This window comes from Homo sapiens, chromosome 7 (assembly GCF_000001405.40).
Source record: "Homo sapiens chromosome 7, GRCh38.p14 Primary Assembly".
Lineage (NCBI taxonomy): Eukaryota > Metazoa > Chordata > Mammalia > Primates > Hominidae > Homo > Homo sapiens.
In genome coordinates, this window is record NC_000007.14 from 95,890,961 (window position 1) to 95,915,834 (window position 24,874).

Sequence of the window (24,874 nt, forward strand, 5' to 3'; positions counted from 1 at the left end):
ATGCTGAAGTCCTCATCCCCAGTACCTCAGAATGTGACTGTGTTTAAAGATAGGGTCCTTAAAGAAGTAATTAAGTTAAAATGAGGTCATTAGAGTGGGCCTTCATCCAACATATGACTAGTGTCCTTATAGGAAGGGGAAATTAGGACCCAGGCACACACAGAGGAAAGCCCATGTGAAAAAAACAGGGAGAAGGTGGTCATCTACAAGCCAAGGAAAGAGGACTCAGAAGAAACCAGCCTGCTGACACCTTCACTTGGATTTCTAGCCCCAAGACTACGAAGAAATATATTTCCGATGTTTGATCTCCCTAGTCTGTGGTCCTCTGTTATGGGTCTAGCAAGCTAATACAGATTGTGGGCTTCAAAATAAAATAGCTATTTAGAAAATGTATTCAACGGTTTTGCGTTTGGTCTAAGGGTAAAAATCAAAAGTGATAGTAAAGTAAGAGAAGCAAACAGAGTAAAATGCACTCTTAACCTCTGCTTCATGTCCACTTTTGCCTTTGTAGATGTCTCTGGGCATCTGGGCTTGGAGGAGATACCTGAATTTATGTTTAATCAGGGGACACTATTGGTGTCAGGTTGGTTCACAAATGTGGGAGAATAAGAGAGCTACATGGAAAGGAAGAGTCCATATGAACAGAATGAAGTGTGTGGCCTAGGGAGAGTTTTAATGTTCTTGCATATTCAGTGTCTTTATGAATAGTATACCAAATATACAGGGGTTATAAATTGGGGGAAAGGGAGCATGATGCAGAGTGTGGGTGAAGAGTGTGTTTTATTTGGTCTGCTCACTGTTTGCACAATTTGAAGTTAAATGATTTGGGGTGTGTACTCTATCCTCACTCCTCCTTTGGTCACATATCCACCTTCTTCACGCATTTGTTCTGCCTGGTCTCTAGATGCCTTTCAGTGGGTGACCCCCAATTTCAAGTATCCTATAGTGGTTATTGTCCCCTACACAGTACATGTTAGTTGTAAGTTCTGGTAAATTTTGTTTTTGTAACTTTTTTTTTTCTTTTTGAGACAGATTGTTGCTCTTTCACCCAGGCTGGAGTGCAGTAGCATCATTTCGGCTCATTGCAACCTCTGCCTCCCAGGTTTAAGTGATTCTTCTGCCTCAGCCTCCTAAGTAGCTGTGATTACAGGCATGCACCACCATGCCCAGCTAATTTTTTCTTTTTTTTAAATTGAGACAGAGTCTTGCTCTGTCATCCAGGCTGGAGTGCAGTGGCATGATCTCAGCCCACTGCAACCTCCACCTCCTGGGTTCAAGCAATTCTCCTGCCTCAGCCTCCTGAGTAGCTGGGATTAAAAGCACACACTGGCCCACGCCACCATGCCCAGCTAATTTTTCTTCCCCCCGAGACAGAGTCTTGCTCTGTCGCCCAGGCGGGAGTGCAGTGGCGGTGATCTCGGCTCACTGCAAGCTCCACCTCCCGGGTTCACGCCATTCTCCCGCCTCAGCCTCCCAAGTAGCTGGGACTACAGATGCCTGCCACCACGCCCAGCTAATTTTTTTGTATTTTTAGTAGAGATGGGGTTTCACTGTGTAAGCCAGGATGGTCTCTATCTCCTGACCTCATGATCCTCCTGCCTCAGCCTCCCAAAGTGCTGGGATTACAGGTGTAAGCCACCGTGCCTGACCTAATTTTTGTATTTTTAGTAGAGATGGGGTTTCACCATGTTGGCCAGGCTGATCTTGAATTCCTGACCTCAGGTGATCCGCCCACCTTGGCCTTCCAAAGTGCTGGGATTACAGGTGTGAGCCACCGCACCTGGCCCTGTAACTATTTTTATTATAAGAATTTTCTCCTAGCAGTAGTGATGGAAATAACATTAGCAATACAAATGCTATCTTATAGAGGGAGAAAATGAGGAGGCCCAATACCATTTCATGAGTGAGTCAGAAGGTGAAATCCACAATCACTTGCTTTTATGCTTTGCTCAAAGTGGCAGGCTCCATGGCCTCTTAAAAAAATTGCCATCTTTTTATTATAAAGTAATAAATAAATTGCAAATTCTGCCATAAACTCTTTCCTCGTGACCTTTCTTAAATTTGTTTTCTTTTTTCTTCATTTCTTAATAAGTCTTTATATATTTTGGCACAGTAAGCTTTGAAAAGGGAGGGTTAAAAATAGCTTCCTGGTTTCAGCTACCAAACACAAGCATGTTTTGGAGCTCTCCCACAACAGGCTGATTTCCAAAGAAACACACATTTATTCATCCTGAAGGGCTGTGATGTTGAGGAGTCAGACAAAAAATTCAACTATTATGTGAAGACAGTTTGAGAAATATAAATAAGGGAGTGCTTTCACTAGCACTTGCAGTATGGATTTGTGACTCAAGAAAGTCCTGTTCATGTGTTTCTTCATTTTTTCCCTGGGTTTCCATAATCAGAGAAGGGAAGGACAGGAAAGCATGTGATATTTATATAGCAGAAATGATACTATATTAAAGGGTTTCTTTAGGTGTTAAACAGTTTGGCTTGCAAACGTCTAGACTTTTTTAAATATCTAAAAATGACAAATCTTAAACACCACTCCCAATAACTTCCTTAAAATTTGATATAAGAAATGTTGCCTGGGCTTTATAGTCCCATAATTGCTTGGCTGAGAACATGTGCCTTACTCCTGTTCCTATACAAGGTCCATCATCTTGCTGGCACTCCATGAATGTCAACTACCAAGTGTACAGATTTAGGTATCAAAGACTGCTGATGATGCAAAACCTAGAGATCTAGGAAATACTGAGGAATAATGCAGCCAGACTCAAAAGGTTTGTTTCTTTGAGCTGCCAGAGCTAGTAATGTAAGTGGAAAATATAGTTAATATAGACAGATGTCAAACAAAGCCAAGTGGAAAGAACAGGAAACAAAAATATTAAATGAAACAGTAGAGTGTGCTTACTGGGTTGGGACTTGGAGAATTGGGTTTGGAATCTCTTTGCAGTCTGCCCTGTGAAAGACTGAAAGAAAATTTTGAAGTGATGTGAAAATTTATTCGGTTCCTCAGTGGATAACCCTTTCCCAAACAATGAGAATCTCTGATGAAGCCTCTGCTGTTACTTATGAAGAAATTTGATAACTATTTAACATGTTGATATTATACTACTATCAAGTGATATTGTAAATACCTGCCCTTCCCTCATCCACCCATGCAAAGCATCCTGGAACATCCCAGATTATTAGTTGCTGTAGTCCATCTAGAATGCTATAATGAGACACCATAAACTGGGTAGCTTATAAATAACAGAAATTTGTGTCTCACAATTCTGAAGGCTGGAAAGTCCAAGATCAAGATTCCAGGAGACTTGGCACCTGGTGAAGCCTGGCTTTCTGGTTTATAGAAAGCATCTTCTCTGTCTCCTGATATGATAGAAGGGGCAAGGGATCTCTCTAGGGTCTCTTTATAAGAGTACCAATCCCCAGTTATCTCCCAAAGGACCTACATCTAATACCCTTACCTTGGGGGTTAGGATTTCAATACCTGAATTTGGGGGGGGGACATAAACATTTAGTCTATTGTATTAGCACTGCAAGCATAGGGTGTAAGAGTGTGTATCTTCTTTTCAAACTTAGGAATTAGCTATTTCTTCATAGATTCTTCTAGTTAGTAATAGGTTGGTGCAAAAGTAATCACAGTTTAAATTTTAAATCATTATAACTAGGCTCAAACACATCTTTATTAATTAAAATAGGAACCATTACAATCAACACATTTTTGCCAACTGGAAATAAGTTTGTTTATTCCTGTAGCATAAAAATCTGTGCTTCGGGATTCAATGAACTCTTGGAAAGCATTTTCTGCATCCTGCTGGTTGTGGAAACATTTTCCATGTAAAAAGTTGTCGAGATGCTTGAAGAAGTCAGTTGGTGAGAGGTCAGGTGAATATGGCAGTTGAGGCAAAACTTCTTAGCCCAATTCGTTCAACTTTTGAAGCATTGGTTGTGTGTTGTGCAATGAGTGGTCAGGCATTGTTGTGGAGAAGAATTGGGCCTTTTCTGTTGACCAATGCCGGCTGCAGGCATTGCAGTTTTCAGTGCATCTCATCAATTTGCTGAGCATACTTCTCAGATGTAATGGTTTCACCGGGATTCAGAAAGCTGCAGTGGATCAGACTGGCAACAGACAACCTAACAGTGACCACGACCCTTTTTTGGTGCAACTTTGGCTTTGGAAAGTGCTTTGGAACTTCATCTTGGTCTGACCACTGAGCTGGTCATCGCTGGTTGTTGTATAAAATTCACTTTTCGTCACATGTCACAATCCGATGGAGTATAGTTCATTGTTGTTGAGTACAATAAGAGAAAATGACACTTCAAAATGGTGATATTTTCAATTTTCACTCAGCTCACGAGGCACCCATTTATCAGCTTTTTCACTCTTCCAATTTGCTTCAAATGCCAAACAACCATAGAATGGTCCATGTTGAGTTCTTCGGCAATTTCTCATGTGGTTGTACGAGGATCAGCTTCGACGATTGCTCTCAATTGGTCATTGTCAACTTCCGATGGCTGGCCACTATACTCCTCATCTCAAGTCTCCTGTCTCCTTTGGAAAACTTCTTGAACCACCACTGCACTGTACATTCATTAGCAGTTCCTGGGCCGAATGCGTTGTTGATGTTGTGAGTTGTCTCCACTGCTTTACGACCCATTTTGAACTCGAATAAGAAAATCATTCGAATTTGCTTTTTGTCTAACATCATTTCCATTGTCTAAAATAAATATAAAATAAACAGCAAGTAATAAGTCATTAGCAAAAAAAAAGTGAGAAATGGCCATTAAAGTGATATATAACATAACTACATTTATTTAAGAATGTATTCCAATATCACACAGCAAATTTCAACAATGCAAAAACTGCAATTATGTTTGCACCAAGCTAATAGTATCCTGTCTTATGCCACTAATTACCTTAGGGCTGAGTGAAAGCGGGGCCTGCTAGCCCTGATGATGGACCCTCAGTTCAGAGTCAGCTTGAGAGGGAGGCAAGAGAAACCATCTTCTCCACCTTTCCCCTCCTAGGGCAGTTATCTGAGAGAAGAGCCGGCAGAAGGCATTTAGCCTTCAGTCTGTGAAGTGTTGGTGCTGGACAAATTATAGCAGAAGCTGGGCTGCTACAGAGTAACTAGGGTTGGCAATAGCTTGCTTGTTGATGGCCACTTTCTTAGGCAAGTCCAGACACAGTATATAGCGGCTTCAGGTGGGACTAGAACATCCCTGCAGCACCATCTGCCCAGGCTTGCTCGGTGAAGAGCCCTGAGCCCTAAGCCCTAAATCCTAAGGTGGTGTCAGTTTAGCTTAAAGGAAGGTGGTCTTCTTGGAGAAATGTGCCAAGCTTGAGAGCGTCCTAAACATCATGGCAAAATATGAGGCAAAAGGGTAAACTGACGAGGATTGTTAACACCAACATTACTAATAATGCGTGCTTATATTACTTAATGTTTCTATTTGCTAGATATCAAGCCTTAACACTGACTACTTTAAATTCAGTGTTTCATTGAATCCCCTCAGCAACTTTATGAGTTAAGTATTATTACTATTCCTATTTTCAGAGAAGATAACTGACAAAAAGAGAGTAAGAAGTTTGCCTAAAGTTACAGTTATTAAACATTTAGAATTGGTTTCACACACAGCTCAGTCCGACTCAGAATCCCATACTCTTTCCCCTAAACTATGCCACCTGTAAACAAACACAGGCAAGGCCAGTGAGAAATCAGAAACCAAGTTGCTTATTATTTCATGGTGTTGCTGTGTGTTGTGGGAATTACAAATGACTCTAAAATATTGTTTCTACCCTCCAGGAGCCTAGAATGTCAATCCGTGATCTTTCTCATCAATTCTGTTTATGTTTTATTTATCCCCATATGAAAGCTAAACAGTAAAATTTATTCTGTATCCAACTGAAGGGCATGTTTTTAAATTTCTAAAACCCCAAATATGTCAAATGTTAGTAAACACTGCTAGACTGAGAACAGTGAAAATAACTTTTAAATACTTGTTCGATGCCATTGCTTATAACTTGTAAGACCAACATAGAAATTTATCTGTAGTTTATCAGTGAAAGTTGATAGACCAGGATTTTATCAGCTAAGAAAGGAGGGATATGCCAGGGCCTATGGAATTTTAGGAAAAAGGGAAGCCTTTAATTGGGTGAGGAAAAGTAGAAATTGAGTTATAACCTCTTCCATGGGTCGTTTATTAGCACATGGTCATTAACATCTATCCCCAGGTTCCTAAGCAGGAAGCAGGAAAAGCAACAAACCAGAGAAAGTCCTGAGCCCCCTTTGAACTTTATAGAAAGGCACTTTATAAATCCTAGGAAAATGAATTTATGTTATAATTTGTCTAGAGTGACTCTGAGTTAAAACTCTTTTGAAGGTAGGGCCTGTTTGATACACCATATAGAAAGTCACCTCTCTCCCTGCCCCCCAGACAGTGTAGCCCATCCTGTGTTGACTTGTCCTCTATTGACCATGATTTTTTTTTTTTGGCATTCTTTCCTGTGGATCTAGATTAAAAGTATTAAGAAATACACCTTAAAGAGAAAGAGCCTATTCAATAGGAGGCCTAGAGGGCAGGAAAGAAGAATTTAGCCCTTTGTCATGAAGTGGAATGAGTGGTCCTCCCTGAGTGTTGATTAAACAAGATTATAATCAGCCATGTATGGTTGCGACTTAATTGGCAGGCAGATCTGCTTGCTGTGCAGAGCAGTATATTTGTATGTGCTCATTTTTTTAAATGTGTTCCAAACCCTTATAGTTGAGTTGATTTTTTTTTTTTGCAATAATGATATGCTTTCAGTAGCGTGTCATTTTCTTTACCCTTGTAGAGAGATAACATGCAATTAGGGAGTGATGTCAGCCTGTAACATTTTGGTGTAAAATTTTGGTCACACCAAAATACTGGGCTCCTTAACAAAGCTGGCAGACACATCTTTTGGCAGCAGCTGCTCGCCATGTGATTTAAAACTTCCTGTCACTATAATTGATGTGTTTTTATTCTTTCCATTTCCTGAAGCCTGATCAGAATTAAAATTGCTGTTGGAATTTCCTGTCAAAGCAACTCATTTATTCTCTGAGCTCTGCACTTTGATTGGACATTGCCTTCAGCAATAGTCAGGTGGAGATTGCTGGGAATTATTCTCTCCACACAGGTTAGATGGCCACGCACGGCACATCTGCAAATCTACACAGATTGTCCATCATGTGGTAAACTTGTCCTAATGGAAACTCCACATGCCAAATGTTAATGATTTGAATATCAAACTTGGCCACCTGCTGGGGCCTCTGGGTTTTGTGTTAATTTAGGAAATCCCGTAGAGTTTTCAGCCAATTGTCTCACCATTGAATTTAGATTGTTGTTCCAAGGTTCACTAGTGAAGCATCTCAGAACAAGACTCTGATCTGTCCCTGGTTTAGATAACATGACTAAAAATGTTTAATTTTTAAGCCCATTTCTCCATCCCTTCTGTTCCCCCATATGCTATTTACATATAACATCTTGGGGTGATTGGGGGTATAAGGGATGAATGGTTCTGAAATATGCCCTAGTAGATACTTGCTCACAGATGTGTGGCCAAGACAACTACAAAAATTCAGACGTGGGTAAAATAGTAGGCAGTGGAAAGATCTAAATTCTACCTCGTTTTATTTTTATATCTGAAAGTAAATCCATAAAATTACTTCTTTATGCAAAGGAAAGAATCACTAACTTTCCTCAGTGTATCCACTGCACAGAGGATTTATTTATTTACTTTTTGATTGTGAGTTCATCTTCTTTACAAATGACTGTTTTCCAGTTGAGGCAGGTGAAAGAAACGCTTTCATGAGCTTAAAGAAGAGGTTGATTAAGTTTAATGCCCTGGACAATAAGGACTATCTTTACTTATCCTGGTGATTAGACTCGAAGATTTCATTATGGAAATGGGAATCTCTTTTTTTAAAAATACAACAACCTATCCTATAAACCACAACACAAAGACGTTTTTAAAAATAATACTTTATTGAAAACTCAATCTGGCATTTAAAATGCTTTTGTTTTGTCACCAAGTAAAGGTAGGCTTTTTGATTTTTTTTCCAAGTACTTGTAAAATATTGTTTTTAATATTTCAAAAATGTGAAATCCACAAGTCTCAGACCTTGTTTTGAGACTTTGCTTACCCCCACCACCTAGGACAGTGCCTTACAAATTGTAGATACTCAATTGATATTTATTAAGTGAATGAAGGAAGCCCTGTAGAATTGTAAAATGTCAAAGCAATGGGGAAGGGACCATGTTACATCTGGAGACAGAGCTTCCAAGCATAGTAATCTTGCTCTGCATAAGGATTTCTGACCCTGCTTATATGTCAGAATCACCAGAGGGGCTTTAAAAAACAACCACAAACAAACTGGTGCCGGGATGCCTCCATGGGCCATGAAATCTGAATCTTCTGTTGGTCACTCTTGGGCTGAAATGATGTTCAAGTCAGAGGTCAGCGTTTCCCCATACTGGGCACCCTTGAGATTGAATCCCAGGCACATTCCACTCCAGATGGCCAGGTCTGATGTGTTGGTTCCACCAAGTCAGAATCATCCTGGACATTTTTTATATATTAGCTTGAGTCAATGACTCCTTGAAAAATGGAGATGGAGAACAGCAGTTGGTGGAGAGAGTGAACCACTCCTTCAGGCACGTTGTGAGCTGAACTAATTTAAAATCACAGGTAAGGATAATGCTACATGTGGAGTGTGTTAGAAACCACCACTTTCATTCAATGTTTCTAGCATGTTAGGATATTTAAAGCACGGAGGGGAAGAAAAATTACATCACTAGATTTTTTTCTGATCTTAAAGTAAGTTTTGAATATTTAATTCTTTTCTATGAATATTCTCCAGGAACTTCTACCATTGTTATCTGACTTCTATTCTACCTCTGTATGTATCTCTTTTGCCTTCTTATTCCCCAAAGCCTCTGATTTTAGAGCAGCTTGCAGAAATAGTGGTGAATAATGTGCTTATTATCATGTAGGTGCTCGCCTGTATTTTGTATGCAAGGAGGTATCTGTTCCATGGGACACATGAGTTTGCCCTGACGATGACCCAGAAAGGGTCTGCATGTGTATTTCTGCTGCCTTTTCCGGCCACAGCTTGGGGAGCTTGTCTGTAGAGGGCGTCCGAGGCTCCATGGATAGTGAGGTCCATCCTACTGCATTTTCAACACTGCTCCATAGCCTGTGCTCAGCATGCCACTGGAAAGGAATCCTAGCTGTATTCTCTTCAAATTTCCCTTCCCCTTTAATTCTTACTTCCTTCTTGTGACATTCTGCTATTCTTTGCCACAAACCATTGCAAAACAACCCATACAAGAGTTTTTGCCTCCTCCTTGGCTAGGGTAGAAGGCTCTTTGGAAACCACAAAGCCACATCTCCAGGGAACAGTAGCTTTATTAATATAATAATCACCACCATCATGGCCTGGATACAATATACACATTACTTTAGAAAGAAAAATAAGGACTATCTGGGGTTTGCTGGAGAAGCTGCACTTGAGGTTAGATGTGTATAGTTAAATTTGGAGTCAAGCTGAGGTCATTGCTAAGGAGATTTGGAGTTGGAAATCCATGTGGAAAATGGTTGCCCCATGGAAGTTATCCTCTCACCATTAAAACTCATTTTGAATAATATCAGTTAGGGAAAATACGAGGGTTTGATCCTGTAAGACTTGGGCTTTTCTTGATGCCCTGGTTTACTTGGAAAATAAGTTGTATGGTATATAATCTTTGCCATCCATCCTCTCTTTCTCAAAAAAATCCTAGCACAAATGGAATAAAAAAGTTTTATTAAGAAGAATCATACCATGTATGTTTCATGAGATTTTCATTCTAAATAACATATAAGGAATGAGTTGCACAATACCAAATATTTTAGACTGTGTTCCTTCTAAATAAGTTGAGTGTATTTAATGAAAGATTTTCTCCAATTGAAATGGAATAAGAAGAAAATATTAAAAGGTCCTTTAATTTCTTATTTGGTTGTTTCTTGGATATAGAGGAGGAAGAAAAAATAAAGTGTGGCAAAACAAACAAACATGGCATCCTCCTTTTTAAGCAATCATGTCAGCTTGGATGGAAATAACAAAGGATCCCAACTAAGTGTGCCAGAGCCTCCGGCAAAGGCAGACTGCTGACATGGCAGCTGTATGTTTCCAGCTGATTTTAGGCCTAGATAACTATCCCTTTCAGCTTAAATGATGCTCTACAGTCATTGACTAGTGCCCAGTTAGGTTGGAGCACAGTTCTTTTGGAACCTGTTCAGACCAACTTGGACTGCCTGTGAGATCTGGGCCAAGATCAGACTGGTTTCCTGGAGCCTGAGGCATAGTACAGGCTGTAGTAAAAGGGACAGAGTTCTCTGCATGTGTAGTAGAATGTATCATTGCATCTGTTTGCTACCTTTACTTTTTAAGAATAATCACAAATGAGTGAGAGCTACACTGTATTCTTCAGACTGAAGCAGGGTGTACACCAAATATCTTTTCCAATAATCTGTAAATTCAACAGGTTATTTTTCTTTTCTGTTTTAAAAATAGCTTGTACTTATCCCCCTCCTCTCCAACCCAAGTGTGGCTCTTGAACTATTTTCAATATATTGCCTTTTTAGGATCCCAAATTCTCCTTTTAATGTGAAACTTGCTTTAATTGACCAAAAATGCCATTTTCAAAATGTTCAATTCTCTGCAAAAGCATTGCTTACTGACAGTGCTTATTGATGAAGGCTGTGGAATCTAAAGGATGTCAACAGATGAATGAAGCCTAGTATGGTGAGATGAGGGCTGCCATCTGCTTAAGGGTTGGCCAAACACCTGGATAATTTAGGCTAAAAGACCAGCCATTTCTTCATTCTGAATACATAACAGAAATCACTGCTTTTTAGGTTTGGCCTCAATCAACAACAAGAACTGATTTCCCTGGTGATGCTGAACAAATGTTTAAGAGAGTAAGATCTGAAACTGATTCTCCAACTTTAGTGGGCCAGTGCATAAAATGATCCAGGTTTTCTGAATGCACATGAGCTGCCAGATGGGTTGTTTAGTATAAGCAGTGCAATCTTTGTTTCTTTAGCTGCTGTCTGCAAATATTGGTATTTAAGGGCGGCTCTAAAGTGACCAAAGAAAGTTTGTGAAATTCAAGAGGCTGTCTTTTTCCTTTCCCAAAAAATAATTGTTTTTGGTATATGAGCCCAGGAGATAATTGCATGCTGACTTCTTGTTCTCCAGTGGCGTGTTTTTTCCTGCTATTGAGCAGAACTGAAATAGTTAGCATGTAGAAAAATACATGGAATATTAAACTAAAATATGTCTGTCTAGGGATCCATTTAGTTGCCTCCAATAGCTCCTTTCTTTGTGAATGCCATTATGTTTATATATATTTAAATGCCCCCTTTGCTACACTGGTTTTAGCTTCTTGTTAGCATCACTTCTTGTTAGCATGATGTTCTACAGCACAAGGCAGCTGAAGAAGTGAAACATGTGTTGAAGAATTTATGCAGTGTCCTCAGATTCTTTCATTAAGAGAAGCAAGAATAATAGGTGCATATTATAAGCTTGCTGTGTTAAGCAATATGTTATTGCTATGCTTGACAGACATCTTGTTTACATTCATGTTATATATTGGGGAAACCATTGCATTTTAAGAACATGGCATTTTTTTATAGTATTATTTATACTGTGCCTCATATGCATGGGAAACGTAGTCGTCTAAAAACATGATATGTTTTAAATCCACTTGTCTCCTCCTCCTAATGAAATATTCCAAGTGCTTTCCCCCCAGCGTAGGGAGTTCAACGTGTTCTTTATTCAGGCCATTCTAATTACTGCCAGCCACATTCCCTCAATTTATTAAAACAATGGCCCAGCTTATTTCAGTTTAGTTTAATTCATGTGTGAAAACTTTACCCCCATCTTATTCCATGGAGAACAGTATGAAAGCTATCTTTCTAGTTGGTCCAGTGTTTTTGTTTTTAGAAAAGCACCGGCTGTTTCCAGGCTGACTCAGGAACATCATTAATTTAGTTGAGCCTTGTGCAATTGTTAATGGGCATGAGATAGCCTAGTGGTGCAGCCTCATCTGGAGTGCAAAATATTACAGTACTCCATGGCCAAATCTTGGTAGCAAGTATTTTTTGCTATCTTTACCCTCACTAAGGAGAAACGTGAAGTGTGAGGCAATTTAGTATAGTTAGTATTTTAGTAGTAAGTACCGTATATTGAAGGTGGGAAATAAGAACATATTTACCTTCTCCTAGTTTTTACATCTTTTGCACACTGAAATCAAACTGTGCTTCTCCAAAGTGTTTTGTGCCATTTTACCCAAATGCTTCCAACTTATTTAGGGAAGTGTTCATTTTAAGAGTGTGGCACCTTGTATTTTCTGAAGCATCCTTTTCTACCTCCAACAGGGAGCAGCAAGGCTAGTCACAGCTAGTTCTAGCTGGACAGTAATCCATGCCAAGGACTGGAACCCAGAAGAAGTAAAAGTGAAGAAAATAAGTGGAGCTGGATTAAAAGATAGACCCACACACAAAGAGGCAGACAGGAGACTTAATGTTTGCAATGTTTCAGCTTGTGGGAAAACCAACTGTCATGTGAATATTCTGCAAAGAACAGAAATGATATCATTTTATTAGCACCACAATTCATAGTTTATTGAATGCTTCCATTTTCCAGGCCTTGCTAAGTGGATCCTTTATTTAAATTTATCCTTATAACAACTCTGTGGGGAAAGTTCAATCATTCCTCTTTGATAGGTAAGGAAACTGAGGCTTACAGAGGTTGTGGAGCTGTGTGAGGGTACAACCAATAATTAGTAGAAGCAGAATTTGAATCTCTGTTTGACTCCAAAGAATGAGAATGTGCATCATTGGTAGGGTGTACTTAGTTGAATGCTAGAAAGCAGTGGATGCTGCTGTGAGATAACTTGGCTTAGAGCAGAAAGCAACTCCCAAAGAGAGCCTAGAGACAGGTGGGTGGAGAGGAGCAGCAGTATCCTGAGAATGTGTTGACAGTTTGGCAACATTTTATGGCTAGATCAAAAGATTTCTAGTCCAGTTTTGCCTTATTTTTCTGGAGGCATAGGTACTAGGCAGCTGATAAGTGGGCTTGGTTAGCCCTTTATTTTAGGGTATATGGAGAAGTTTAGACTGCCCTAAATCTGGCAACTGCATTATGGTGCAAGGGCATCACATCACAGAATCCACATGACATTACTTCCAGAGTACTGTTACCAAGGACCTGGACCCTAGCCAGACCTCAGGCCCTTGATCCTCAGTTCCTCTTTCCCTGCTCATCTGTGTAAGATGGAGGCAGCTGACTCCCAGAGCAACTGCTGGATGGGCTGATGGACAGAAGGAGATGCACCCTAGTAAGCCATAAGTGATATGCTTTGCCTAGCTAATTCTGCAAAAGAGAAGTGACAGATACTCAGCATTGAGAAATTGGTCAGATTATTTATAACAAAATGGGAGGAGACTGGAGACTGGGAGATGAAGAGACACATTTTCAGCCAATGGCAGATGCAGGACATCACAGAACATTCTCTTAGGATTTGCATGTTGGTTAGTATTGGGGAGATTTTACATATATATGTAAAAATACATATGTATGTATACATATGTGTGTATGTATATATATATATACACATATACACATGCACACATACACACAAAGATATATATATACAGACATCCCAATAATAAGCTTTCTGTAAATAGCAGAAGGGAATGTGATCTTGAATTCTTGGAAAACTTTTTCCTTGACATCCAATATCTCTGAAAAGAATTGTCAGTTAAAGTGTATGTTCTAAAAACTTTTAGCTCCTTCTTTGGACTATCTGCCTGCCACTTGATTGTTTACTCTCTGACCCACTGGCATGATATTTCTATATTGATTTTCCCAACATTCCTTTTGTCACATCTCTGTTCAAAGTTTCAGAATGCTGAAGTTGCCTATGCAAAAAGTCAAAATGCCTTATCACTGAAATCAGTACTTTTCACAAGCTAATTTCAGCCTGCATTTCCAGGTTCATTTCTACAGTTTCCCTGTGTAAGTTCTCTAGTTTAAGCAAGTGGGTCAATTTATTGTTTCTGACCCTTATTTAAAGTGTTGTTTTCACTTACAATGCCTCCACTGTTTTCTTTACCTGTTGGAATGCCAATTGGAAGCCAAATTGATGGCCTAGAATTATAAACCATGACAGGCAACAGACAAGGTGCATTTTGGCTTGGAAAGTAATTGAGGTCATAAATAGCAGTAGTTTCAGAGTGGATGAAGTAAAGAGGTTCCCATGTTGCGTGTGCAGAAACACTAAGGCAAGCCTTGGTCCACTGGGTCAGTGACATCGGAATGGAATAGGTCAGTACCCTGGATAGCTCCCAGGAATACAAAACTCGAGTGCTGACAAGGTTCTATACTTGGAGTTGTAGACCTACTCAGCTGCAGACTCATATTTTCTGCACCCCTTTTTCTTAAAAAGGCCACTGTCATTTTTCCTCTAAGTTTAGCAACTAGAGATTCTAAGACTCATGCTAATATTGCCCTTCTTCTTTCCTGACCTATGTCTCAAACTCACGTGGGGTCCCTGATTATGCTGAAGGGTTTATCCTCCATTTTATTGCATGAGATGTTCGCCAGGGGGTTTGTCTTTCTTCGGGTAGGGATAGGGACTGGACTTCTACTAACGCCCCATTGTGTCTGGGCTTTTTTTTTTTTCATAGATGGCATTTCATTATCCTGTCAACACTGTGAGCAGATTAAAATTTTGCCCATCCTTCAAGATTAAGTCCCACTCTCACCTTTGCTTTGATCTCTCCACTGATCAGCCCAATATAAAAGTAGCTCTCTCTCATCTTAACTAGAACACTTTGTAGTCTTTATAGTCATTCATTTCAATATTAATGATATACTGTTCTTTATAAGCTATCTTTTTATCTCTCTGTGTTATAGCTCTCCAATTGGCTTGGATGCTTCTTGGGGACATGCTTCTTAGCAACAGGGCTTCCCAACGGTAAGGACCCAGTGAGGATGCACTGCAGATTATTGCATGAACTATATTTTTTCTGGGAAAGACAGAGAGAACAGTTTCAAGTTTTCTGATAGACATGTTCAGTCAGTAGCCCTTTTCAATTATATGTAAAATATATTTCTTGAAGTTTCTATTATTTCTGGAAGCCTTCTCCTTGTTGTGGTGTAATGAATATAGCATGGACTGTTGTGAGCCAAAGAGACCTGGGTTTGCATTCTTATTTCACCACTTATAACTGTGACCTTGGGCAAGTTACTTAATCCCCTTGAGCTACGGTTTCTGCATCTAGGAGTATGGAAACAGAATTCACTGCATATGATATTCGTAAAAAGTAAATGAGATATTGAATGTAAAGGGTCTCAATCACTTGTCACAGAGTGAGAGGCTTAATTCTTATTGATGCCTTTTCCTTTTTTTATACATCTGTGGCTCTTGCTTTTTAATCAAACTTTTCTGAGGGTCTTTAAAACACCACCTTTACGTATTTTCCACCATGTGCTCACAGTGAGTCCTTGATCTCGGTGAAGGACTTATCTTTCACTTCCATTTATTCCTAGAATTAGCCTTAATTTTTTTTTCATTAAAAGATTGAGACTTAGTTGCTTTATTTGTTATTCAAAAAACAGACCTTTAAGCTGTATGCTTATATTTACTGGGGTGGGAGAATTTGTCTTTGAGGAAATCAGGGTGGAGTACATTTGCTCTTGCTTCTTTTATTTATAGAAAGCCCCATTATCAAGCAACCTGAAAAACTACAGTCTACTATAGCTCCAAGAAAATTAAATGCTTGTGACAAACAGAGGTCTCAGGACACACATTGGGCAGCCCAGTCTTCATTGCTTGCAAGTGGCTGATTCTCAGAGACTGTGAAGGAAAAGTCTTAGAATAAATCTGAATATTTATGAAAGAAAACCAAAGCATTTTAGCTGGGCTTCCATCTCTTTAAACAATACCAGTCACAGAAATGTGGTTTCATAGTCATTTAAAATACAGTTTACAGAGGAATTAAGCTAAACCACTTAAGCTCTCCAAGCAGCTGTGCTTTCTCAGCTTCCTTACCGAGAGCTGCTTGCAGAACATCCGCTTTGAAATCGGCAGCTCAGTCAAAAACAGAGCTGTTGATCTCTGAGCTACTTGCTTTTTCTTGTCCCACACTTCTCAGGTAATGCAAAACAGTGGAAAAATATTTGGATACGAGCATATATCCTTGCCCCGCTTTTTCATGTTTGAAGCAGCCTTACTCTCATGAGTGTAAGTGAGCACCTGAAAATGAGTTAAGGTCACACAGTGTGTGCTTTCATAAGCCACCATATAATTGCCAGAATGACCGTTTATATTTTGGGGGAAACTTTAGGACTTCTGTCTTCCCGGAGAATAATCTGGCACTTAAAGCTGTGTACAGTCAGCCTAACCTCCTCTCACTTGCACATGGGAGCCCTTGGACTCAGCCCGTTGGTCTCTTCACTCTTCACTATGGTCAAATCACATTCCTGTCCCTGTGCCTGTGGTCTTGCTCTTCCCTACTCTTCCAGTGACATTCCCTCTGCTGTTTAACTAGCCCCAACCCCACCCATTCCACTGCTGAAAGCCCAAGACTCATCTCCTCACAAATAGTTCCTACAGCCTCTTCAGTTCAGTTTCCCGTCCTCATTCTCTGCCTTTTACCAGGACTGTATCGGTTCATTTGGTCCTTGTTCTCAAGTAGACCACAGGGCAGTCTACTTGAGAATGAATGTCTCAATCAACTGTTTTTTTTTTTTTTGGTCTCAGAATATATATATATATTCAACATTCAATAAATATTGTTTAACAGAATTATCAGTTACATGGAAAAGTAGAAAAGCATTGTCAAATTGAGTTCTATTTTTTGAAAACAAAATATGAGTAGCAAGAAATAAATAGAATGAAAACAATACTTGCAAATTATGTAAGTAAATTCAACCAAATGTGACAGATGGAAATTTTTATAATTGTTAACTATGTTTTATTTACTTTTTATAACATATTTTAACTAATACAAAATAGTGTTTAGGTGTTGGCAAATTTAGTTAAGCAGTCATGGGTATCTTATTTAAGGAAGAAGATCATGAAATGCTCTTTTTAACCTTGTTAAACAACCACGGGAGGAGATGGAGACTACCCGTGCAAGGAGACTGCACTTATAGAGTTTAATAAAAATGTATCTATCATAAACTTAGTTTCTAAAACAATAAAATATTTGTTTATAGAACCCTATCATGGAGCTCTCTAGTTTTGCAAATGAGCTATTTTTCCACATTTCATTCTATAAGCAAGCATTTGACACCTAAATAGCGAGCTGTAGATTTAACATCTATTGTGTTATACCCTAAATATCAAAGATTTAAAAAAACACTGGTAGGCACTATTGATGAGACCATGAAAAGAGTTTTGAGGAAAATAATGCAGCCTTTTGTACCAGAAAACAGTAATAATAAAAAAAGTGAATGACTCATGATGCTCATAATACACCAAATGGCTAAATATTACTGGTTGAACAACTCTTCAACTCTGATTTCCTGAGCATTTTTCTAGCTAATCTGTAGGATTTAGCATTCAGTCGTCTGGCCTCTCTGGGTGGGGCGAGGGGTGGGGGTTCATCCATAGCCAAATGCAGGAGAGCCTCCTTGATTGCTCACTAGCAGCCCAGGAATCTAGGACTCCTGGTGATTTTCCCCAGCGGTTGGTTTAGAAAGTGTGCAGGCTTAGATACATGGAGAGCAGAGTGCTCGGCAGGGCATCCCCAGTGGAGCAGCACTGGAAAGCTGGCATCACCACATTATCATATCCAGAGTCATAGTAAAATGTACCTTGTTAAATGTGATCTTGGCCTGTAAAGAAACAAAAGACTACTTTTAAGACAAAACATAAACTGCATTACAAGCCAGGGAGTAGGGTTGATGGGAGGACTATGGGACGGCAGTGGGGGGAAATTAGAGAGTTGGGCACAGCTCTCCCAGACAGTGTCTGAAGAAAAAAGACTGTGTTTGTTCCTGGAACAGACCAAAAAGGGAGGATGTGAAGACTGATGAAATACCAAAGAGAGACTTGGGATAAAGACAGTTCTAATTGAAAGGGAAAGAATGGCAGGACAAAAGTTCATGGGGAGGAGAAAGAGGAGCTCAGTAATGAGACAGCAGAAAAAAAAAAAAAAACCCAGCTGAAAACTCTGGAGAAACTTGGAGGGTGGGAGGGGGGTGGGGGGGGGGGGCGGGGCGGGAAGGGAAAATACAACTTGGATATTTTTCGAACTCTAGCAGCAACAAGGATGTTTCCTAACCACATCTTTGGCTGTGAGAACCTTGTTGTTGGAAATTACATGTAAAACAAAAATGTGTCCAGATTCCATTTTGTATCTATTCATTTTTAAACCTGTGTTTATTGGGCATCTTCTGTGTGACTACATTGCACTACAGCCGGGGTTTCAGGGGGCATGGCTTGGGCATGCTCACACTCTGCTGTCCTGGAATGTGAAGGAATTGGATCCTGGGCCATGAAAGGAAAAGAGGAAGGAGGAAGAGAAGGACCTGGCAGAAGGAATGAGGGTGAAGCTGGAGTGACTTTTATAAAATATAAATAAATCGCATCACCCCCTTGCTTAAAACCCTTCCGTGGTATCTGGTGCTCTTTTTTTAAGGAAAAATTGTATTATTTTAATTATTTTTATGTACAGAAAACTCAACAGTGTACATTTAAGCCACTTTGGTGTGACAAGTTCTTTAACCTTTGCCTCTTCGAGCTTGGCAGTGCGAGCCACAGACTTGGGACCCAGCATCTGGTTGCTCTTGAGATCAGTCCAAACTCCTTGCTAGGTGCTTTGAGACCTGCGTTACCTGGACTGAGCCTCGTTCTCCATCCTGTTTCATCTGTCTTTCTCTCTCTTTCTCAGATGGTCATTTTGGGGTTGCGCTTGATTCAAGTGCACTTCAGAGGTGGTCCTGGGTCAGAAGACTGGCTGCAGAGCTGGCCCCACTGTTAGGCCACTGCAAGAATCTCCTTGCCTCTTTTCCTTGCATTGTCCCCACCTTGTCACCCCTATAGGGATGCTGTAAGGATGAAGGCTTTGCTCTTGCTTTGTTTGACCTATCTGAATTGGAGGACTCAGAATTCTTCTTTCTCCTTTCATTTCCACTCAATATTGAGTCCCTCCTAAGGCCTGTGAATTATTTCTTCATATTTCTTGGATCCTGTACCTTTCATGTCATTCCCAGAGCTAAAACCCTAACTCTAGCCATTATTACATCACACCTGAAATAATACAGCTTCCTAAATGCTACCCCCATCTGTTCCTCCTCCCACCCAGATTAACTGGCATTCAGGACTTCTGTGTCCAGGAGCCAGATGTTTTGTATTTTCTGTTATATTATCTGACAGCCCTAGCCCTTCATCCATGCATGTATAATCCATGTAAAGTGGACACTTATCCCTGGAAGTGGTAAGTCTTGAGCTGGGCTCTGAGGCATGGATTAAGGTTTAGAGAGGCTGAAGGGCAGGACAGGGCCTCCTGGGCATTAGCAAGGGTTTGGAGGCAGGTGTGCTGGGGCCAGTAAGTAGAGCAGAGAGTAATGGGAAATCAGGTTGCATTGGGCTTTGGCTGCCTTGTCAAGGCATTAGAAGAATAGGAATCAGTACAAGAATTATGGACATTTATAGGTTACAGACTGGGTTCAAGTCCTATTGCTGTCACTTATTAGTTACATGAACTTTGAAAGTACTCAGATTTCTCACCTGTTAAAGAGGCAATAGCACCCCTCACAGGGTTGTTTTGAAAATGAAATCAGATCATACATACATGTAGCTCACAGTTGCTCATGACTAGCATGTAGTAGAGGTTGGCCGTCGTAATATTGGCCATCATCATCTTTATCATCATGACCTTTGTCATGATCATTATTTTTTTGGATAATGGTGAATATTAAAGATTTGGAATTTTTTAAAAACGAGAGGTGAGAAAGGATAGCATGGTAAAAGCTATGCTTTGAGGGTGTCACATTTTTAGGAGGTTAGCTTGGAAGAGTTCTGAAGAGGCATTCTCACTCAAGTGTGGGGATAGCTGGGCTACTCTGCCAACAGCTATGATGATGTTTCCAGACACAGTATAAAAAAATAGACCAACAAGGCTTGATAATCCACAATTGTCAAAAATTAGAACAGAGCAGGAGTCTTGAAGCCAGGGAAACTTCACAGTTTTGGAGGTTCGAACTTGTCAGTGACCAAAGTGAAGTGATCTGAAGCCAGGAGGTAAGTCATGATGGCGAGGAGAAGTCCAGTCCAGAGGAGGAAGGCATTCAGATTCTGAGAATGAGGCAGATTATTGGAGTGGGGCCGGTGGAGAGACCCCACAGAGGTGACACAGGTGACACTGAGGCAGTGGTGGTATGTACTTCTCTGCTTCAGTTAAGGGTCAAAAAAGGCTGACCAGAGGTGAGAAGAAGGAAAGCAAGGAGGGAAGGAACAATATCAAGCACTCCTCCTGAGAAGTGGCTGATTGGAAATGTGCCCATGAAGGACACAGAGGCCCAAGCTTACATTTAGGAAATAGTTGAAACACTAGGGAAGCAGGAAATAACACACTCTAAGGCAGTGATTCTCAAATTTGAGCATGCATCCCAATCACCTGGGGGGCTTGTTCAAACCAGGTTGCAGGGCCTCATCTTTTGACCTTCTGGTTCAGCAGGTCTGAAGTCAGGTCTGTGAGTTGCACGTGTGGTGAGGTCCCAGGTCAGCACCTGCTGCTGCTGGTCTAAGGATCTCATCTTGAGAACCACTACTTTAAAGGGGGCTATCCTACCAATAAGATAAATTAGAAAAATGTGTATAGCTAGTGTTTCAAGGTCACTGCAACTAGTTACAGATTATCTGTAAGAAGACTTCAGAGATGATAAAGCATGCCCTAATCTGCAGGATGAATTCCCAAGCACTCAAATTTGTGAACAGGTAATCCAAACTTTTTAAGGCTGCTTGTTTAGCACTCACTCATCACTTGAACATCATTTTTTTTTTCTTTTTTGAGAAAGAATCTTGCTCTGTTGCCTGGGCTGGAGTGCAGTGGTGTGATCTCAGCTCACTGCAACCTCCACCTCCCAGGTTCAAGTGATCCTCCTTCCTCAGTCTCCTGAGTAGCTGGGACTACAGGCATGTGCCACCACACCCGGCTAATTTTTGTATTATTAGTAGAGAGGGGGTTTCACCATGTTGGCCAGGCTGGTCTCAAAATCCTGACCTCAGGTGATCCACCCGCTTTGGCCTCCCAAAGTGCTGGGATTACAGGCTTGAGCCATCATGCCTGGCCCACTTGAACATCTTGATGCTAAGAAAGGAGAGGAAAGGCAGTTCTGGAGTGAAGGAGTTTATCTGGCTTGTTCTGTTCTCCGTGGTATGAGGACATTTGCCTTTGATACGTTTAATCTCTCTTGTTCAGGGTGTGCAGTGCATGTGGCTCAGGTTGAAGAGCTGGTCTTTCCCACTCCTTGATTTGCAGGGACATAGAGTGAATAATTAATAATGAGAAATCATGTTCTGATCATGTGCAGGTTCTCCTGCCAGAAGAATGCCCATTGAGGCACCTCTCTAGCAGTAGAGAAGGAACCGTTCTAGCCAGACATGCAGGCTTGCCCCCTCTTTGACCAACATGCCAGGCAGCTTTGGAGGCGGGAGGAGGAAAGGCAATCTGTTTGTGTCCATTGTCTAGAGTCTCATTAGCACCAGCCCTGGTCAAGGACTAATAACCCACACTTTTGTCCTTCCTCTGCCTTTGTCTGAATCAGCTTCTAAACAGTGGGAGGACCACCTCAAAGGCAGGAGATTGGTGGGCTACAGACCAAGATGGACTTCCTGTATCTTAGTATTGTGGCAGTGGATTGGTTTCATGCATCCTTGGAAATAGTTACTCCCCCATGCTCCCAAAATGAGAACCAACTTTTGCAAGTTGGCTAAAAAAAAGAAAGAAAGCAAGCTAGTTAAATCCCTTTGATTAATGCTCTACCACTATTGGCAAAAATAGTCTGTTAATATTTTTATGTAGACTTTTCCTTTGGCTTGTTTGCTTAAGGTGAGCTAGTGTCTCTTTCATTACTTGCACCTCTGGTTAGGAGCCAGAGCCTAGTTCATGGTTCTATCCTGGGTGGGAAAAAACAGATGTTAATGTGTTTGCATCTTCATATTCATATAGAAATATTATTTTTTAGTTCTCTTGAAATTTCATAAACTGATCCTTGCTAAGTAAAGTGGTCCTGATCTAAAAATAGAACAGAGCTCTTGAGCGGAGGTGGGGGCATGGTGCCACACATATGAAAGAGAGCTGGACATGGTAATATGGTTTGGCTGTGTCCCCACCCAGATCTCACTGTGAATTGTAGCTCCCATAAACCCCAGGTGCCATGGATGGGACCCTGTTGGAGGTAATTGAATCACGGGGGCAGGTTTTCCCATGCTGTTCTCGTGATAGTGAATAAGTCTCACAAGAACTGATGGTTTTATAAAGGGCAGTTCCCCTGTATGCACTCTCTTGCCTGCTGCCACATAAGACATGCCTTTGCTCTTCCTTTGCCTTCTTCCATGATTATGAGGCCTCCTAGCCAAGTGGAACTGTGAGTCCATTAAACCTCTTACCTAGTCTCAGGTATATCTTTATTAACAGCATGAGAAAGGACTAATACACATGGGTAACACATAGAATTAGGGAAATGGCATCCTTGCCAGTCTTTTGGATTATGAGTCTGATTTTTAGTCTCTATTCACTAATAATGCTATGGGTTTAATAATTCAGTTGTCTGTAGTTGTGCTTCCTAATCTTTTTGCATTAATATCAGAGTATTTGCATGGAACACTGGGATAAATGAAGGAGGTAGCCCCATCCTCATCCCAGGGCTGAGGATATCAGTTGCTTACAACACACTTGTGACCCCTTAGTGGCACACCAGGTGAGAAGCTCTGATCTTGGGCAGAATTGTGCATTTGATCTGTTTGCAAGCCTTTTAGCTTTGACCTGTTTCATGGCCAGAGCTATACATTCACCCAGGCAGGGACTGGGTTGATAGGTTTATTGGAAGTACCAGGCAAGAAGGCCTGAATGGGGCACCAGACCTGTTACTCCTGGAAAAACAATTCAAAGCACATTTCATCTATGACATCATGAATCATATTACTATTTTCATTTTCTTTACTCACTAGGAAGCTTTAAGCCACTTCCAGTAGCTGAATAGGATGGGGCTGCTTTCTTGTCCATGGCTCTAATATTTCCCCTCATTAGAACATTCCTGATTATTTACTGTATCCTTTTGTATTATGGTTATTTTTATAGGCCACTTGAAATCCTTTCTGCGGGTTGTGGATTATGGAAGAGAGCAAATAATTTAAAAAGAAAGCTCAAAATACACTTCTTACCCATATTGGGTCAGTCATGTCTTTTTTTGATGCAGACAAAATATTTTCACCCTTTAATAAAATTGGTAACTGAATATGGTATTAGTCATAATATGAAATAATGTTCCTTTTTAAATGTGATGATCATCCTGCTTTATTTCCCCATCTGCAAGATGAGAATAATAATTATCCCTTTGAAAATATCATATGGTCAAATTAGTTAATGTTGGACAAGCATTTCAAAATGAAACTACCTAATAATTTATTAGTGGCTCCACTGGTGTGCAATTTGAGAATGAAGTCTGCGTTTGAGGAATTGGCATTTGCATTAATTCATGTTTTCCCTTAAATTCATTACAGAGGTCTAGTCTGAATTCTCCCGGCTGGGTGCCAGCTGTGCCCATCTGTGGCACATGGTCTCGTGGCCTTTTCCTCCAGAAGTCTTGTTTGAGTAATCAGAAGTCATGTCCTAAAAGGGAAACTGAGCAAATGAAATTGCTCATGTACTTCTCTTAAATGGAATCACTTGTTTGCTTTTTAATTAAGATGAGACTTTTGATTAAAGCAAAAATCTGGTGGCATTTTATTTTCTACTCTGTGCCCCTCGAGATCCATTGCTTGACCCTGAAATGAATGATCTCAGTTATATCTTAAATGACATAGTGAATTAACTGTATTTCATGTGCCAGCATTTCCTTCATGTTACTTAGATAATTAAGTTCTTCCTAATTCAGAAAGCGTGACATTTTTGTATGGTCACAAAGACAGCCAAGGAGGACAAACACATAATAACGAACTATAGTAATAGCTATCATTCATTGAGCACTTTTGTTCCAGAAGCTTTGTGCATTATTATCTCCAGTACAACCCTGAAAAGTATTTACAGATCAGGAGCCTGAGATCAGAAAGATTTGACTAACACGAACAAAGTCACATAGCTAAAGAGATGGGTTGCTGGGATTTGAACTTACATCTATCTCCAGAGCTTTGATTTTTCTGTTTAATTTGTATTTTATAAACCCAAATCATTGAAGCATATTTATGTTTTATTTCTATACACTTCAGGTAAAGCTATTTTTTTAAACAATTTATTGAATACCAAGAAGAGTTATGTCCTGATGGAGTGGGGTCAGATTAAATGATTCTCCTGTTCACTTGGAGCTATAAAACTATATAAATCTATATGTGTGAGAAACTCTCACTGTATTTAATGTGTTTTTTTCAGTGCTACTGTCTACAGGACTCTGGCAAATTGCTGTCAAATAAAAGTCATAAATTCACAGAATGCAATTCCTCGTTGTCAATGAAATGAAATGAGAAAATTTCTCTTTTCACTCAAATGGGCTATACATTTATACGATCTAAATTCCCATATTAACAAAAAAAATTTTAGTTGTTTGCTTTCCAGTTAGGTTAGGATATTTCT

At 40.2% G+C, this 24,874-nt stretch overlaps 1 protein-coding gene across 5 annotated transcripts in view, besides 2 other annotated features; it reads left to right on the plus strand.

Annotated features, from left to right (window-relative positions):
• The window catches only part of DYNC1I1 (dynein cytoplasmic 1 intermediate chain 1), a 337,769-nt gene that overhangs the window by 118,407 nt on the left and 194,488 nt on the right, over positions 1–24,874 (plus strand). The window lies entirely within an intron of this gene.
• Positions 11,223–11,814: an enhancer, noted in NCBI's record as "eDlx#27 fragment used in the reporter transgene". NCBI's record gives its function as "activates a minimal E1b promoter in the olfactory bulb of transgenic zebrafish {active_cell/tissue: olfactory bulb}" and the evidence as "EXISTENCE:transgenic organism evidence [ECO:0001131][PMID:22914741]".
• Positions 14,304–14,504: a silencer, noted in NCBI's record as "peak6645 fragment used in MPRA reporter construct". NCBI's record gives its function as "represses an SCP1 promoter by STARR-seq MPRAs in K562 erythroleukemia cells {active_cell/tissue: K562}" and the evidence as "EXISTENCE:reporter gene assay evidence [ECO:0000049][PMID:32103011]".